The following is a 16,024-nucleotide window of genomic DNA, read 5'->3' as shown; positions in this document are numbered from 1 at the left end:
TATTGCAACTATAAGGAACACATAGTATACACTTTGACAATATAATTATTCCTTATAGAGAAACCCTGTAATATACATTATTCGTATTTTATGTTTGAGGAAAGTGAAGATCAGAGAAGTTACTTGCCCCATGTCACACAGCTAGTAGATGGCAGACCCAGAATTCAATCCCACATTTGCCTGAGCTGCTAGAACATCTCTGCTCACCAGAAGGCTTGCTAAAGAGGAGCACCTTGCTCAAAGTCATTCAAGGTCCCAGGATGTTAAAATGGGACACAGTGTGCATCTCACTACATCTTTGAGGGAAAGAGTGGCATAGAGGCTTGAACAGGGCCCTGGAGTCAGAAGGACCAAGTTCAAGTTCTAACTTTGGTAATGGATTCTGACTCACATAACCACCCTAGACCTGTTTCCTTATGCATAAAAAGGGATGAATATTGACTAGATTAGGGGTCTCTAGTTTTGATCATGAACTCCATCCGTTTTTTTAAAAGAGCACATATTGCCAGTATCTATGCTTTTATTTATCCATATATTTATAAGCCATAAATATGCACTTTAAGAAACATTGCATATATTATTAAAAAGCAGAAAAATAAAATATTTAAAAGGATGAGATAAAGGTGATATAGCAATATGAAATATCCTGTCGATTGTGATGGCTGGATACTATCATCAGCTAATACCTCAAGGCACAATATGAACTGGGGCAAGATTGACTTATCCTGATAACATTAGATGACAATCTATAGATCAAATATCTTGATAGTTTCAAGACATCTTTGGCTGACTTATCTGGTTTAATAGAATTGTATTCGTGGCCCTTCGTTTCATTTACTTTATACTAACATTTTCTTCCCCGACTTTTATCTGTAACGTTGTACATCCTGTAGAGATCTTTGTCCTAGAGAATCCCAAAGGTTTCTTCCATCTTAAAAATATGTAATGACCCTATGAACATCTCTTCCCCAGAAGTCACTTCCAAAATGACTAAGAAATCAGATGCTGTGCATCAGTATTAAATGGAACCATATAAGAATTTTGAGAGGGCAGAAAGGGGAGACATCAAAAGCACACTTGAATCTATTATCATATTTATTTGTATCTTAATAGCACTTCTACAAGGAAAATATATAGAACAGTATCATCCATACTGTGTTGAAAGAAACTGACAGCCTTATCAGTAATCATTATAATTATTAAAATTTACCATTTACCATGTGGAAAGCAGGAGAGTATACTGGTTAATGGTACGAAGTTTGGAGCCAGACTTCCCAGTACAAATCCCAGCTCTGCCATTTACTAGCTTTATAACTTGGAATTACTTCATCTTTTTGTCCCTTAGCTTCCTCATCTATGAAATCCGTAATAAGAGTACTACCTCATAGTGTTATTTTGCAAATAAATATATGTGAAGTTCTTAAAACAGTGCCTGGCACATAATAAGAGCTATGTAAGGGTTAGTTACTGTTGCCATGACGATGATGATGACGACAATGATGATTATTGCAATCCTCTGAGCTTCCGAAATGAACTAACACTATGCCGAACATTTTGCTTACCTTACCTTTTTTCATCATCTCTAAATAACAGTGGTTAAGAGAGAGAAATCAAACAGAGTGACTTTGAATGTATGCCTTGCCACTTGCTAGCTAGGTCACCCTGGACGAGTCATTTAACATTTCCAAGCTGGGGTTTCCTCAGAGCCCTGTCAGACAATCCATGTAATCCATTTAGTGTAGCACCTGGTGTAGAGTCAATGCTCAATTAATGCAAGCTCTTATAATTCATGACCCAATGAAATAAGTACGCTTACATCCATTTTGCCAACGTAACTGTTAAGTCACTTACTGATCTAGAATCTCATAGCTGATGTGTATTTGAACCTGGCCTAAACATCAAGTCAGTTATCTGTAACTAGTGCTCTGGTCAGCCCAGTATATGCTGAAAATTTCCAGCCTCTTAGATAATTTTGTCATTCAGTCAACTTCAGATCTCTCACATTTTCATGAACACCATGCCAGTCATTGATTGACAGGGGTTTCTCAGAGTAGCAGAAGTTATAAGTATCAAGTCTTTCACCAGAGCAATGGAAGTCACACTGTCTTTCTTAAAAGTAAAGTGCTGGCCTGCCTTGGCACTGTGGGAAAACAAAATCTTAAATTTCAGTTGAATGGAGGGACTCTCGAACTGCTTCTCGACCCAGCCCTGAAGTTGACTAATGTGTGGCTTTGGCCAAACAGATGATCTGGTCTCCAAGGCCCCTTTGAGTTCCTAAAATTCTACAGTTTCATGAATTTACCATCCAGGTGGGGATATAAGACCAAGATACATAATAAGGCAATTATAGAACAGCTTAAAGCAGTTTGCGATCCAGGGAAAAAGGCTTTATGGAGGTTAGGATGGCCTTTAATTGATGGTTTCAATAGTAATTTCTAAAATGCTATTTTAGAGTCATGAGAATATCCTAAGGCTGTTTTAAAAGCACAGATTTCTGGGCCCCATCCCTGACTAAATCACAATCTCCAGAGAATCTGTATTCTTTAAAAGCTGCTATGATTCTTGAGCTGCAGCGTGTTTGGAAGGCAATGTATTAATCAATGGACTCTACCTCTAGTCACTTAGATGTAATTAGGATGGTGGTTCAGGGAACAATATTTTTTAAAAGCTCTTCAGGTGGTTCTATTGTACACAGAGTTGAAAACCACTGGGTTAGATCACTGAATGGTTGGAAATTTTTCTTTAAAAAAAGAATCAGAGCCGGGGGCACAATGGCTCACACCCATAATCCCAGCACTTTGGGAAGAGGCCAAGGCGGGCAGATCGCTTGAGCCCTGGAGTGCAAGACCAGCCTGGGCAAGATGGCCAACCCGTTTCCATAAAAAAAAAAAAAAAATACAAAAAATTAGCCAGGTATGGTGGCACAGGCCTGTAGTCCCAGCTACTTAGGGGGCTGAGGTGGAAGGTTAGCTTGAGCCCAGGAGACTGAGGCTGCAGTGAGCCGTGATTGCACCAGTGAACTCCAGCCTGGGTGACAGAGTGAGACTGTCTCAAAAAACAAAAAGGATCAGATATTTGTACACCCATGTTCACAGCAGAATTCACAATACTCGAAATGTGAAAGCAACCCAAGCGTTCATCAATGGGTGAAAGGAAAAATGAAACGTGGTATATACAGACAAAAGAATATTATCCAGCCTTAAAAAGAACAGAAATTCTGACACATGCCACAACGTGAGTGAACCTTGAGGACATTATGCTAAGTGAAATAAGCCAGTCACAAGAAGACAAATACTGTATGATTCCACTTATATGAAATACCTAGATTGGTCAATCTCAGAAACAGAAAGTAGAATGGTGGTTACCAGGACCTGGGGAGACAGAGACATGGCGAGGTGTTGTTGACTGGGTACGGAGTCTCAGTTCTGCAAGATGAAAAGAGTTCTGGAGACTGATTGCATAACAATGTGAATATACTTAACACTACTAAAGTGCATACATGGTTATGACAGTAGATTAATGTTCTATGTGTTTTATCACAGTTTAAGTTTTTTTTTTAAGACAGGGATGGTAGACATCTCATAGCACACCTCACCCCCACCAAACATTGCTCATTGATAACTGCATGCTTCCACACAGAGCCCAGATCCTCACACTCCCTGACACTGGAGAGAACAGTGTGAGAAAAGATGGGGAGAAAGTGAGGTGAGGAAAGTTATGAGAATTTGTGTTTGGGAGAGGGCATGAGGGAGTGAGAGTAAGGAAAAATGAAGGAGATTGTCCTCCAAAGATGCTAGGGAGGAAAAAAGGCCCAACAGACAAAGCCCCCTCAAACACAGTGTGCACAATTGAGTCTTCAAAATACTGCCCAGTGAGCAGAAGGCCAGTGCTCCCATGCTGGAACCGCATTCACCTATCATTTACTAGGGCACCAATTGGCCACAAAGGCAGCAAGGTCTATGGGCAAGAGCTAGAGCAAATACACAGAGACCCAAGTTCAAAACCTCTGCCTCTGTCCCTGGGCCACTTGGGCCACTGGTCCCTCCACCCCTCCATCCTCAGATCCCCCCTCCGGGCTGCTGCAGGCACGATTCTGGTCACACAGAGGCTCATCAGTCCCTGCTGTGTGGCAGACCAGTAGAGGCCCAGGGAGGGCGAGATGCACCACAAGGCTGAGCGCTGTCTGAGCTGTGAACCACTTCATAAAGGGCGAGGCATCCACCGGACATGGCTAGGCGAGGCTTCCACCTTCAAGGGGCTTTTTGAAAAGAAGATGAACCAACACCTTTAAATGAGTCACACCCTCTCCAGGTGTTCTCTCCCCTTCTCGGCTCACAGTTCCTTTTGTCTTTTAAAACCAGATGAGACAAATGTGGTATTATTCTCTTCAATAATTGGGTTCCCCTTCCCAAACTAGCAAAGCCAAAAATCTATGAGGAAGAAAGCATGTGGTTCAAATTGAGAGCGTGGGGGGAGTGTAACTGCTTAGAGGCGGTTGGGTTGCTCCCAAAATAATCATTACTACAAAGGCAAATCAGTGCTTGAAGATTTGCTCCCTGCTTTTGCACTAATTAGTGTGCAAGGGGGAGCGGGGGGATGAGACACAAACAGCAGCCACCAGCTGCGAAGATTTGTTATGTTAATTAATAACGTGATTAGACAGGAAAACCACAGGCAGGTCTGATCTGTCCCTGGGTGCCCAGACTGGTCCTGAAAGACCCAGGGAATGGGAGAGGAAGAGTCACTGTCTCCCCTTGGGCTGTCCTCCTGCCCCCACACCAGGGCTCAGCACTGGAGCCCAAAGAGAGACAAGGAGCCCTCACATCTTTTCAAGTGGGCACCAAGAAGCAACACCCATTCCCAATCCCAACACCTGCTTGAGTTCCCTGGAAACAAAATTGCCTGGAGAGGATTCTCTCACCGCCACAATCATTTTGCTAGCTCAAGCCACCACCAGAAAGCTTTCCCTTGGTGTCATGCTGTATTTTATGTTGCCTTTAAGTGTAGGTTTCTAAGAGAGGATAAACAGGTTAGTGAGCAGAACACCAAGGGGAAATATGGAGCAGAGTTGAGAGTCAGTGATAAAGAATAACGGAGCTCTATTATTAGTGAAGTCACTCTGCTTTTAAAAGGGGCTTGCACGTCTGGGCAGCCATTAAGTGCACTCAAAAACAGCTTGATGTGCTTGCTTTAAACCTGTTCATTTTTTTCTTCAACCACAGAAGCTGTTGTGCCAATATACCCGCTTCTTGAGGTTGTGAAGGCAATTTGTCTGCTTGCTGCCTTCCCTCGTGTCTGGGGGTAGCTGCAGCAGGCTGGCAAATGCTATGACACCAAGTCCCCATGCAGTGCCGGGGGCTAGAGCCCCTATAGTTGCCTCCCTTGTTCCCTGGAAATTGTCCTTTCAAATGCAGGCAGCTCCACTAGACGCTGGGGGACGTGCCATTGGAATCATGGGATTTTCTAGTGGGAAGGCAACTATGAAGCAGCAGATGATCTGGCAGACCCCCTTCGGAGGTGATGGAATGACAGAGTGGAGCAGTGATGGCACAGAGGCACAGATGAACAGAAGCAGAGCCGGACAGGAGCTCAGGGCTCCCACACCTGCCCCTGCACACTCTCTCAGCCATGTGCTGAGGGAGTCTGATTCTGCTCCCGTCCTTGTGACTTGCTTGGGAATCTCCATGTGTGCCCGTGGTTGGCTTCAGCAACCTTGGAGAGAACGATCCAGGGCTGGAAATAATTTCTTCATTGGGTTCACATTGCTTGAGGCTCTGCCCTCCACCAGAGATGAAGCTAAGTTCTGGGGACACAGAAGAGGGAACTCATAGTCTAGTGGGAACAGCAATCCACAAACCAAGAATCCCCCTATGATTGCCATGGCAAAAGAGGTGGACACTGGGGCCCTGGAAAGGAAGCAGTAGGCTGCTGTCTGAGCTGGAAAAGCCTCCCTGGAGGAGGTGATGTTTGTGCTAAGCCACAAACCCCTTCTCTGAGCAATAACCTATTCCCTGGTCTTCCTGGGCTGAGGGCACTAATCCCACTCAGGATTTCAGCACCTTCATACTCGCCCTTTGGTTGCTTGGGACCCAAAGCTCTGCCCTCCCGGGAAAGCCTTCTCATCCTTTCTCATCTTCTTCAAAATGTGCTTCCTGTTTTACTGGAAAACATTCTAAGACTAGATGGCGATGGTTGTACAACTCAATAAATGTACTCAAAATCATTGAATTGTACACTTGAGTGAACTGCACACTGTGTAAATGATACCTCAATAAAGCTGTTTTTAAAAACTTCCAAACATTTTTTATGTTGTAGCATACAAAAAAAAAAAGATAGCATTGGTATCATACCCTGGGTAAGCTAAAGGAAATTTAGAGTTTGGTGAAAAAAAAAAAAAAAAAAAAAAGATCATTATACTTTATATCATTATAAGAAAAGTAAAATGTAAAAGTTTCAGAAAGGTATTAAATTTTGAATTTATATAAAATTTCCAAATAAAATATTTTCAAATATTGAAGTGGATAAACTTGAATTTGTGTCCGTGAACATACTTTGTACAACCTCTCTGCAAGGTATAAGGTGCTCATTCTCTTGGGGGACACAGGTTGGAAATGGTTCCACGTAATCTTTGAACAACACTTCTTCATGGCTATCCCTTTAAATTCTTGGTGGTCTCCCTCAACAAGACACTTTACTCACACAAGGAGGTAATACAAATTTTTAAATCATTTTTATAACCTTCAAAAATCTACACTGAAATTACAATGAAATAATTCAATAACTCTTTTCTTTCATTGACAAATAAGGAATATTGACATTTTTGTGATCATGTAAACAGATTTCAAATTCAATCAAATTTCTCATCCCAAGTACTTCAACATAATGATAACATGTACATTTGCAAAATGTACATGAATTATTAGGATAGTCAGCCTACACAGAGCTGGCTTAGATGCCACTGAAAGGTATAGAAGCTACAAAAATACTTATCCAGGGCATGTGAAGACACTTGGAGTTAATGCCCACCAGGATACACTAAGCAGCCCACGCCTTGCACAACCTACCCTGCTCTCTGGACACCTGCAACGCTGGCTCCTCCAGCCACTTTCTAGGCCCTCATCCTCAGTGGGCAGTGGTGGTCCTACAGCCGCCTTCCTATGTGGATGTCCAGGAAATAGGGCAAGTGGTGGATGGGTTCAGAGCAGGACTGTGGGGCATGTCCGTGGACCCCACTCCATTCAGATGCCCTGAGAGACACCTGAGACCCCATCTATCACCCCAAGGGATGAGGAGATCCTGATCTTGGGGGCATAGGCTGAGCTGATGCCTGAGAACACCTCCTATGTTTGAACTCCCAGAAAACCTACCAGCATTTGCTAAGTCTTCAGCCACCCTGAGACAATAGTCACTTTGAGGGCTTGCAGGGAACTCCCTGGAGAGGGAATGTGCTGCTAGTGAGAGGAAAAGGGGGTTAAAAACACAAACTTGGAAAAATCTGTATTTAAGAAGTGGGTGGACAAGTACCAGCTTGGGGAGAAAATAGAAGGGGAGGAAAACCAAATGCTGAGCGATCACAGAAATCAAAGGCAGGAAGCAGTTGACCAAAAGAGGGAGTAAAGTCTTAGGAGGAGGAGAAGTGAGGCTGTGGGAAGTTGGTGGAACAGCGGGCATCTCAGAAGACAGAGGCTCAGGAAAGAGGTGTAAAGTGGGGAGTTGGGGGTGCAGCCTGGTAACCTCGAAAGTCACATGGCAAATGGAAGCATGGCTTTCTCATTTATTGGCTCAAGGGAAGGAGCTTATGAAGGGCACAGCTGCTGGTGTGGGGGAAAAGGGAGACTCAAGGACCTGGGAGGCATGAGTCAGGGATGCATAAAGAAAGGTCTTCCTAGGAAGGAAAGCATTGCTGTGCCTCTGACTTGGGAGAAAATGTTTTCCTGATGACAAAGAGGAGACTCAAGGAGCCAACAGCCACCATCTAATCAATTGGTGCAACAGATGGAGACAGCTGGTCCATGGCAATGTTCCTTCATTATTCATGTGCCAGCATTTTCTGGACAGCTGCTATGTGCCAGGCCCAGAGACAACTGAGACATGGGTCTTTTCCATTAGGAGATCAGAGTAAAGGGAAAGAAGTGAAGTATCAGATCATCACAGACCCAGGAGGAATGATGGGGAGATTACAGAAAGCAGCCGAAAGTCATGGAAGGAGCACCCACTTAGAGGGCTAAGGCAGGCTGCCCCAAGGAGGCAGAATCCTAGCCAAGACTTAAGGAGTTAAACAGGAGGGGAAATGTTCCAGGTAACTGCCCAGGGGCAAAATAGAGCATGGTCATTTGGGAAGTGAAAAGTTCAGTTTGGATGGAGGGTGGATGGCAAAATGTAGAAAGGTGAAAGGCGATGGCTCAAGAGATGAGGCAGGAGCCCTGTCATGAGGAAGCTTGCTGCCTGAGGGGTTGTGTTCTGCCTATGGCTCTTCCCAGACTTTGTAATAAAGAGGGTAAGCTAAAGGATAAAGTATTTCTCTGTCCTTCTTGACTCTTAGGACATAGAGATCCATAATCTACAGAGAAAAATAATGAGGTATTGGGACTTTCAGATGAAAAGGTGTTTAGAGCAGCTGGACAAAGTGCTCCCAGAGATGAAAGCATTTACAGACAGCGTTAATTGTATTTAGTAGTTAGTTGTCCTTGTTCTTATCTTTCTTTGGAAAGGATTATACAGAAAGCATATAAGCCATAACTACTTTTCTTTAAACACCATTTTGGTGTCTTATTTCTCTGCTCAAGAATCTTCTGTAGCTCCCCAGTGCCTTCACCATCAAATCGGAGCTTCCCTGTTTGTTAGGATTCTCCATTTTTTTTTCCTAATGCAGACCTCCCCATCAGCTATCTCAACATCAACACATGTATTAATTGCCTTAAAAGACGAAGACCCTGCACTATGAATTTACATGTTGTTGTTTGAGGGAGTTTCATAGCCTAAGAAAGCAAAAAAGTGTTGGAAGAGTGGGACTGCCTCAGGAGTTCAGAGAAGAGAGTACCATGAGGTGCCCTACACCCCATCCATCCCTGACTCTGTGCCTTTAGACAAGGCTTGAGGATTGTGGCTGATAAAGGAAGTGACATCAATGAAATAAGGAAGAATACCTAATCATGAAAATGGAGAGTCTGTAAAGCATCATTGTAAAGAGCATGAGCCCAGAAGCCACATATCAAGTGACCTTTAGCAATTTGGGTAACCCCTGAGCCTGTTTCCCATCCATAATAAATCTGATGATCATATCTACCTTGTAGGGTTATTATGGAAAGTAAGTTAAATAAGACACTATATGCAAAGCACTCAACACGACGCCTAGCAGATAGCTGTCAATCAACAGTAGCTATTAATATTAATTATATTCATAAAGACCATTGTGAAAAAGGGTAGAGGCATGGTAATTAGATGTCTGTCTTGGGGATGTATTGCCTGGGCTTGTAGCCCCTGCTCTTCTACCTAGCAGCTGTATGGCCTTAAGCAAGTCGCATAAACCTCTCTGTTCCTCATTTTCTTTATCCATAAAATGGGAATCATAGTATCTACCCCATATGTCACTGTAAGAATATTAGTGTGGCACCAGCACTGAGTCTAAAAGGAGAAGGAAACTAAAGTCTAGAACAAGGTGAGAAAGAGAAAAGCTGTGCACCTCTCTCTAGGCTTAAATAGCTGCTGCCTGCCCTGAGTTCTCAGTGATGTCCGCGTGTAAATAGACAGACAGTGGAAGAGAATACAAATCCCAGAAGTAGATCCAAATACATATGGAACATTATGACATCCTCTCAAATCAGCAGAGAAAAATGGACTGTTCAATAAATGAGGTTGGGACCATCGGGTGGCCATCTGGAAGAGCTGGCTCTGCCTTCGTCCTCTCCAATGGGGAGGAGTGAACCTAGCAGAGAGGAACAGGAATGCGCCAGAGTCGTTTGCTCTCCATGCTTTGTCATCTTTGAAGTAGCACCTATTCAAAAGTATTACCCACTCTAAAAAGTCAAAGAAAAAAAGATAGATAAATAGTTCTCCAGAAGTGATGAAAGATGGATTGTCTGGGAGAAGGGCCAGGAATCCCAGGAGGAGGTTGGCTTCTCTAGCGAGTACATGCACCCTTCTTCCAAGAGGCTACAAAACACATGCACAGCTAGGGACAACAGTGCAGAAGCTGGAAAAGGGCTCTAGGGGACCATGCGGTCCCTCTTGCCTATCATTGTACTTTGGGCCAAAACTTGAATGCAAATTCAAGCATTACTTGGGAAGGGAATACGGTGTATGTGCCTACTTTTCTAGATCGGCAGAGATGGGAGCTACTGAAAGAGAAGGACCCTGGTCAGGGAGGTTTGAGGAGGTACTGGACACAGGATCTGGGGATGCCACTAAAGCTGTCAGAGCCATATGAAGCCAGAACAGTGGCAGGGCAGAGGGAGCTGATGGGATCTCAGAAAGGAGCCCTAAGCATTCCTTGAGAGAGGGCAGGGAAAGGAGATGTGTTTCCCCAAGTTCATTCTTTTGCTAGGACTCGTATTTAAGGAGCCTGGTCTTCCAAAGATGCTGGAGGCTGCATGTCATGGCCTCAGAAAAAGCTCTCAGCTCCCCTTGTCCTCAGCAGTGATTTAAGTTCAATTGTACAACTAGCATCAGTTGACAACACTCTCCAGATCTGAAAGACAAGCCTGGCCCTTCACTCCCACTGAGTCTACCCAGGGGAATTATCCATCCTATGGCCCCCTTCCTAAGTGTGCTTCTGACAAGCCTTCTCCCAATTGTCCCAGCCTTTGATTTGTATTTATATCTCCTACTCACACCACATCCTAAGAGAATTCAACTCAAGTGTAACCCTGAATGGGTTACAGGTTATAAGCAAAAAAAAAAAAAGTGCAAAATCAATGCAGCCCATAAACTCTCATTCCCTTGCCTCTTCGCACAGCTCTAGAGATAAGAGTCTAACTCAATTGATGCAGAATTCACTGCTGAGGAATTTTTTTTATTAACTTTTCTCCTGATTATAAAAGGAGAACTCTATTTCTTGCCCTTCTAGGTCTTACCCTGTAGATTAGACACAATGACAGCATCCTCACAGAAAAATCTGGAAATACGGAATAAAATATAAGAAAAAGAATTCAGACACCAATTATCCTACCACCCAAGATAACAATATTATTGTATTGGAGTGTGAATTTCTAGTCCTTTCAATAAAGCATGGTTGATACAATTTAAATGATATTATATATTGAGTATACTGTTAATATGATAATATCAATATCAAATTATATTTTGTATCACTTGCCAATGGACTTAAATTCTGTATAATTTTTGGTGGTTACATATTATTCCATCCTAAGGATATGCTGATATGCTGAAATTTATTTGACCAATCCTATAACAGATGCTTTTCAAGGTCAATTTTTTTCTAATATAAATAATGGTATAATAATAACATTTTGCCTGAAGCCTGACTCACCTATTAGATCACTACCCTAGGATTAATTCTCAAAATTTAAGAATGCAAGGCCAAAGAGTAGGAGCATTTTTAAGGTGATGTGTAATATCACACTGACCTCAAGAAAAGTTTCACCCATTAAACTCCCCCAACCCACTATAGAACTTTTGCTCTCTATATCAAACTTTGAACCACTTCCCAGATGAGCCATAGCATTCAAGGCTGGAAGAAAGGTGGTATCCTATGAGAGTGTCCCCACAAGATTAATCCATCTGTCCGGAGAAGCAAATCCGAAATCCAGCCAGGGCCAAGGAATACTGTAGGCATGTGCTTTTTGAGCAACACTTCCATTAACCCTGTTTCTGGTACCACCTGTCTAGGAATCCACGTTAGGGGCTTCCCCCTCCCCCGACACTAAATACTTGGTATATTTTCCAACATCAATTCTGTTTCTCTGACACCAACTGGGTATCCAACAATCCAATTCAATTATAACACTATCAGAATTAGCATAGACCCCACAGGTTAAGGGCTCAGTCCCACAAGACTGCCCCACTTCGAATGCCACTCACAAGTCCAAGGTTGCCAGTTGCACTTCTGATGGAACAACTATAAATTTAGGAGATCCCACAACATCCACCTTAGGTTCAATAATTCACTAGAACAACTCCAAGAACTCAGGAAATCTCCTTGCTATTACTCATTTATTACATAACCCAAGATTCACAGGGAGGGTATGGAGAGTAGCGGCACAGAGCTTCCCTGCCCTCTCTGGGTACACCACCCTCCCAGCACTTCAGTGCATTCACCAACCCCACAGTTCCTTAAACCCCGTCATTTATGGGTTTTTATGAAGGTTTCATTATGTAGGATGATTAATGAAATCACTGACCTTTGGTGATTGAGCTCAATCTCCAGCCCTCCTCTGGAGGTCAGGGTGGGGCTGAAAGTTCCACCCCGTAATCATGGCTTTGTCCCTCTAGTAATCAACCCCTGTACTGAAGTTATCTACAATAGGGATTGATCACTGGAGGTTGACTCAGCCACCAGTCATTCATAAGCATACAAAAGAACCAGTTCTGGCCGGGCACGGTGGCTCATGCCTGTAATCCCAGCACTTTCGGAGGCTGAGGTGGGCAGATCACTTGAGGTCAGGAGTTCAAGACCAGCCTGGCCAATAGCAGCAAAACCCTGTCTCTACTAAAAATACAAAAAAGGTAGCTAGGCATGGTGGCAAGCACCTGTAATCTCAGCTACTAAGGAGGCTGAGGCAGGTGGCACGACTGCACTCCAGCCTGGATGACAGAGAGAGACACTGTTGCAAAAAAGAAAAAAAAAAAAATAGTCAATTCCAAGAGTCATGGGAGCTCTGTGCCAGAAACCAGAGACAAAGACCAAATGTTTATGTTTTATACCACGTTGCCCCTTCCCCATTTTGTTTTGTGGTGGATATGGAGCACTACCCACTCCCAGCTCCAAGGGTCAAGCTTAAGAGCCAGATCCAGGCCTGGCACAGTGGCTCATGCCTCTAATCCCAGCACCTTGGGAGGCCGAGGCAGGCACATCACCTGAGGTCAGGAGTTCGACACCAGCCTGGCCAACATGGCAAAACCCCGTCTCTACTGAAAATATAAAAATTAGCTAGGTATGGTGATGCCCACCTGTAATCCCAGCTACTTAGGAGGCTGAGGTGGGAAAATTGCTTGAACCCAGGAGGCGCAGGTTGCAGTGACCCAAGATCACACCACTGCACTCCAGCCTGGGCAAAAGAGCAAGATTCCATCTCAAAAAACAAAAAATAAAACAAAACAAAAAAAAAAAAAACTGGGTATATACCCAAAGGACTAAATACCATGCTGTTATAAAGACACATGCACATGTATGTTTATTGTGGCACTCTTCACAATAGCAAAGACTTGGAACCAACCCGAATGTCCAACAATGATAGACTGGATTAAGAAAATGTGGCACATATACACCATGGAATACTATGCAGCCATAAAAAATGATGAGTTCATGTCCTTTGTAGGGACATGGATGAAGCTGGAAACTATCATTCTCAGCAAACTATCACAAGGACAAAAAACCAAACACCGCATGTTCTCACTTATAGGTGGGAATTGAACAATGAGAACACATGGACACAGGAAGGGGAACATCACACACTGGGAACTGTTGTGGGGTGGGGGGAGAGGGGAGGGATAGCATTAGGAGATATACCTAATGCTAAATGATGAGTTAATGGGTGCAACACACCAACATGACACAGGTATACATATGTAACAAACCTGCATGTTGTGCACATGTACCCTAAAACTTAAAGTATAATAATAACAATAAAAATAAAAAAATAAAAAAAACAGATCCAGGCCAATCAGTGCATCAAATCTCCAGTCTAGGAGATTTGGCTACAGAGATTGGTCCAGGGTTGAACATACGACATGATCAGACCCAACGAGTCACGATGAGACTTTAGAATAAGGAATTTTCATGCTTTTCCATGAGAGATGAAGCTGAAAAAATGCAAGATCTACACCTGCTATAGGCATCTCTTACTACCACAGGGAAGAGCCTAAGAATGAATCATGATGAAAGAGAAGAACCTAGTGATGGTGAATCAAAAAGAACATAAGTCCTGATCAAGCATCTACATCAAACCTTCCCAGGCTTTTCAGTCACATGAGAACCCCCATGTTGCTGTGGCTGGTTTTGGTAACATTTTCAGTTGTGGAAATCTAAAGAGCTTTAACAGCACAACGTATCTGTAAATGCTGATAATCTTGGAAGGAAGGGGATCTGGTTCAGAAGCAGGACACATGAGTAAGGTCAGAGCCAGGGCTCACACCAGCGGTGGGGCCAATGGGATGGGAGCCAGGCAAACACACCTGGGGGCACCTGACATGCTAGAGGTGTGCCAGGCCCTTCTTATCACAGACACCGGGGCAGGCTGAGCAAAGGCGGGGAGATCTGTCGGCTTGTTTGCAAGCCCTTGAAACCACTGGGTCTGGGCTTCAAGACAATTAGGGAATCTGGGCAGAAAGGCAGGAGTAAGGTTCCAAGCAAGAGTGTGGACAGGTGCTGAATGTGTGGCACAAGGTTAGGATTTGGGCACAGAGAATACAACAGGAGCCTGGGGCTTCTGCACCCTAGGAATGCAGCCCGAATCAGTGTGGCACTGACAGTAATTTTTTTTCCTTACCTTCATCCTCTCTGAAATCCCAGAGTCTACGGGAAGACTGAACCTCCTGTGGTATGAATTAAATACATTCATCTATGACGAGTGGAGCAAGTTGGGTGGGTGAGAAGATCAACCAACACTAGTCACAGGAGTCCCCTAAAGCTAGGCTGAGAGCTCCTTGAGGATAAAAGCCACATCTTGTTCAGGGCAGTCACTAGCCCCACAAGGAAAGGCAGGAGGAGCAGGACATGTGCCCATTCTGCAGACACGGCTTTCAGCCCAGGAAGAGAAAGGATCACAAGCACAGCATGGGTAGCAGGAGACACCGGACTTCAAAGGACCCAAGGCAGGGGCCGTTGGTTCTTCCGCCCTCCGGGCCCTCTATAAGTACAGGAGCATAAAGCTCACAGGTGAGTCTGATGCCACAGAGCATCTTGTTATCACTTAAAGCAAAACACTGGTCAGGGCCAATGGTTCTCAAACTTAAGTGTAAACCAGAATCACCTGAAGGACTTACTAAAACAGATTGCTCAGCTCTACCCCCTAGCATTTCTGATTCCAGCAAGCGTGAGGAGGGTCCTAAGAACCTGCATTTCTAACAGATTTCCAGGTGTAGCCAATGCTGCTAATCTGGAAACCACATTTGAGAGCCATACCCTAGGCACGTGTTTCTCAACCCTGACTGTACGTTAGAGTCACTGGGGATTCTGATTTAATTAACTGAGGAGGGGCCCAGACATGGATATATTTTTAACATCCCCCAGGTGAGTCTAATATAGAGCTAGGCTTTTAAAAATAACTTGTTTAGGGCCAGGTGTGGCAGCTCATGCCTGTAATCTCAGCACTTTGAGAGGCTGAGGCGGGTGAATCATTTGAGATCAGAAGTTTGAGACCAGTCTGGCCAACATGGCAAAACCCCATCTCTACTAAAAATACAAAAATTAGCCAGGCATGATGGCACATGCCTGTAATCCCAGCTATTTGGGATGCTGAGGCAGGAGAATCACTTGAAACCAGGAGGCAGATGTTCCATTAAGCCAAGATCATGCCACTACGCCCTAGCCTGGGCAACAAGAATGAGACACTGTCTCAACAAAATAAATAAAATAAAATAAAAAATAACTTATCTAGGTGCCAAACCAATTAGATGGGTAAAGAATAGCCTTCAACAAGTATTGCTGGGACAACTGGATATCCACATGTGAAAGAATGAAGTTAGACCCCTTCCTCACATCATATACAAAATTAGCTCAAAATGGATCATAGACCTAAATGTAAAAACTACACATATAAGTTACACCAAACGTAAAAACTATACCATATAGCTATTATTTAAAAAATGAAGTACTGATACATGCTACAACATGAATGAACTTTGA

At 43.6% G+C, this 16,024-nt stretch overlaps 2 annotated features.

The window, feature by feature from the left end:
• Positions 3,626 to 4,126: an enhancer, noted in NCBI's record as "H3K4me1 hESC enhancer chr2:137165805-137166305 (GRCh37/hg19 assembly coordinates)". NCBI's record gives its function as "activates a minimal SCP1, AML or CMV promoter by ChIP-STARR-seq in naive H9 embryonic stem cells {active_cell/tissue: H9 hESC(naive)}" and the evidence as "EXISTENCE:reporter gene assay evidence [ECO:0000049][PMID:30033119]".
• Positions 4,127 to 4,627: an enhancer, noted in NCBI's record as "H3K4me1 hESC enhancer chr2:137165304-137165804 (GRCh37/hg19 assembly coordinates)". NCBI's record gives its function as "activates a minimal SCP1, AML or CMV promoter by ChIP-STARR-seq in naive H9 embryonic stem cells {active_cell/tissue: H9 hESC(naive)}" and the evidence as "EXISTENCE:reporter gene assay evidence [ECO:0000049][PMID:30033119]".

This window comes from Homo sapiens, chromosome 2 (genome assembly GCF_000001405.40).
Source record: "Homo sapiens chromosome 2, GRCh38.p14 Primary Assembly".
Lineage (NCBI taxonomy): Eukaryota > Metazoa > Chordata > Mammalia > Primates > Hominidae > Homo > Homo sapiens.
This window is presented reverse-complemented; position numbering and strand designations above follow the sequence as displayed.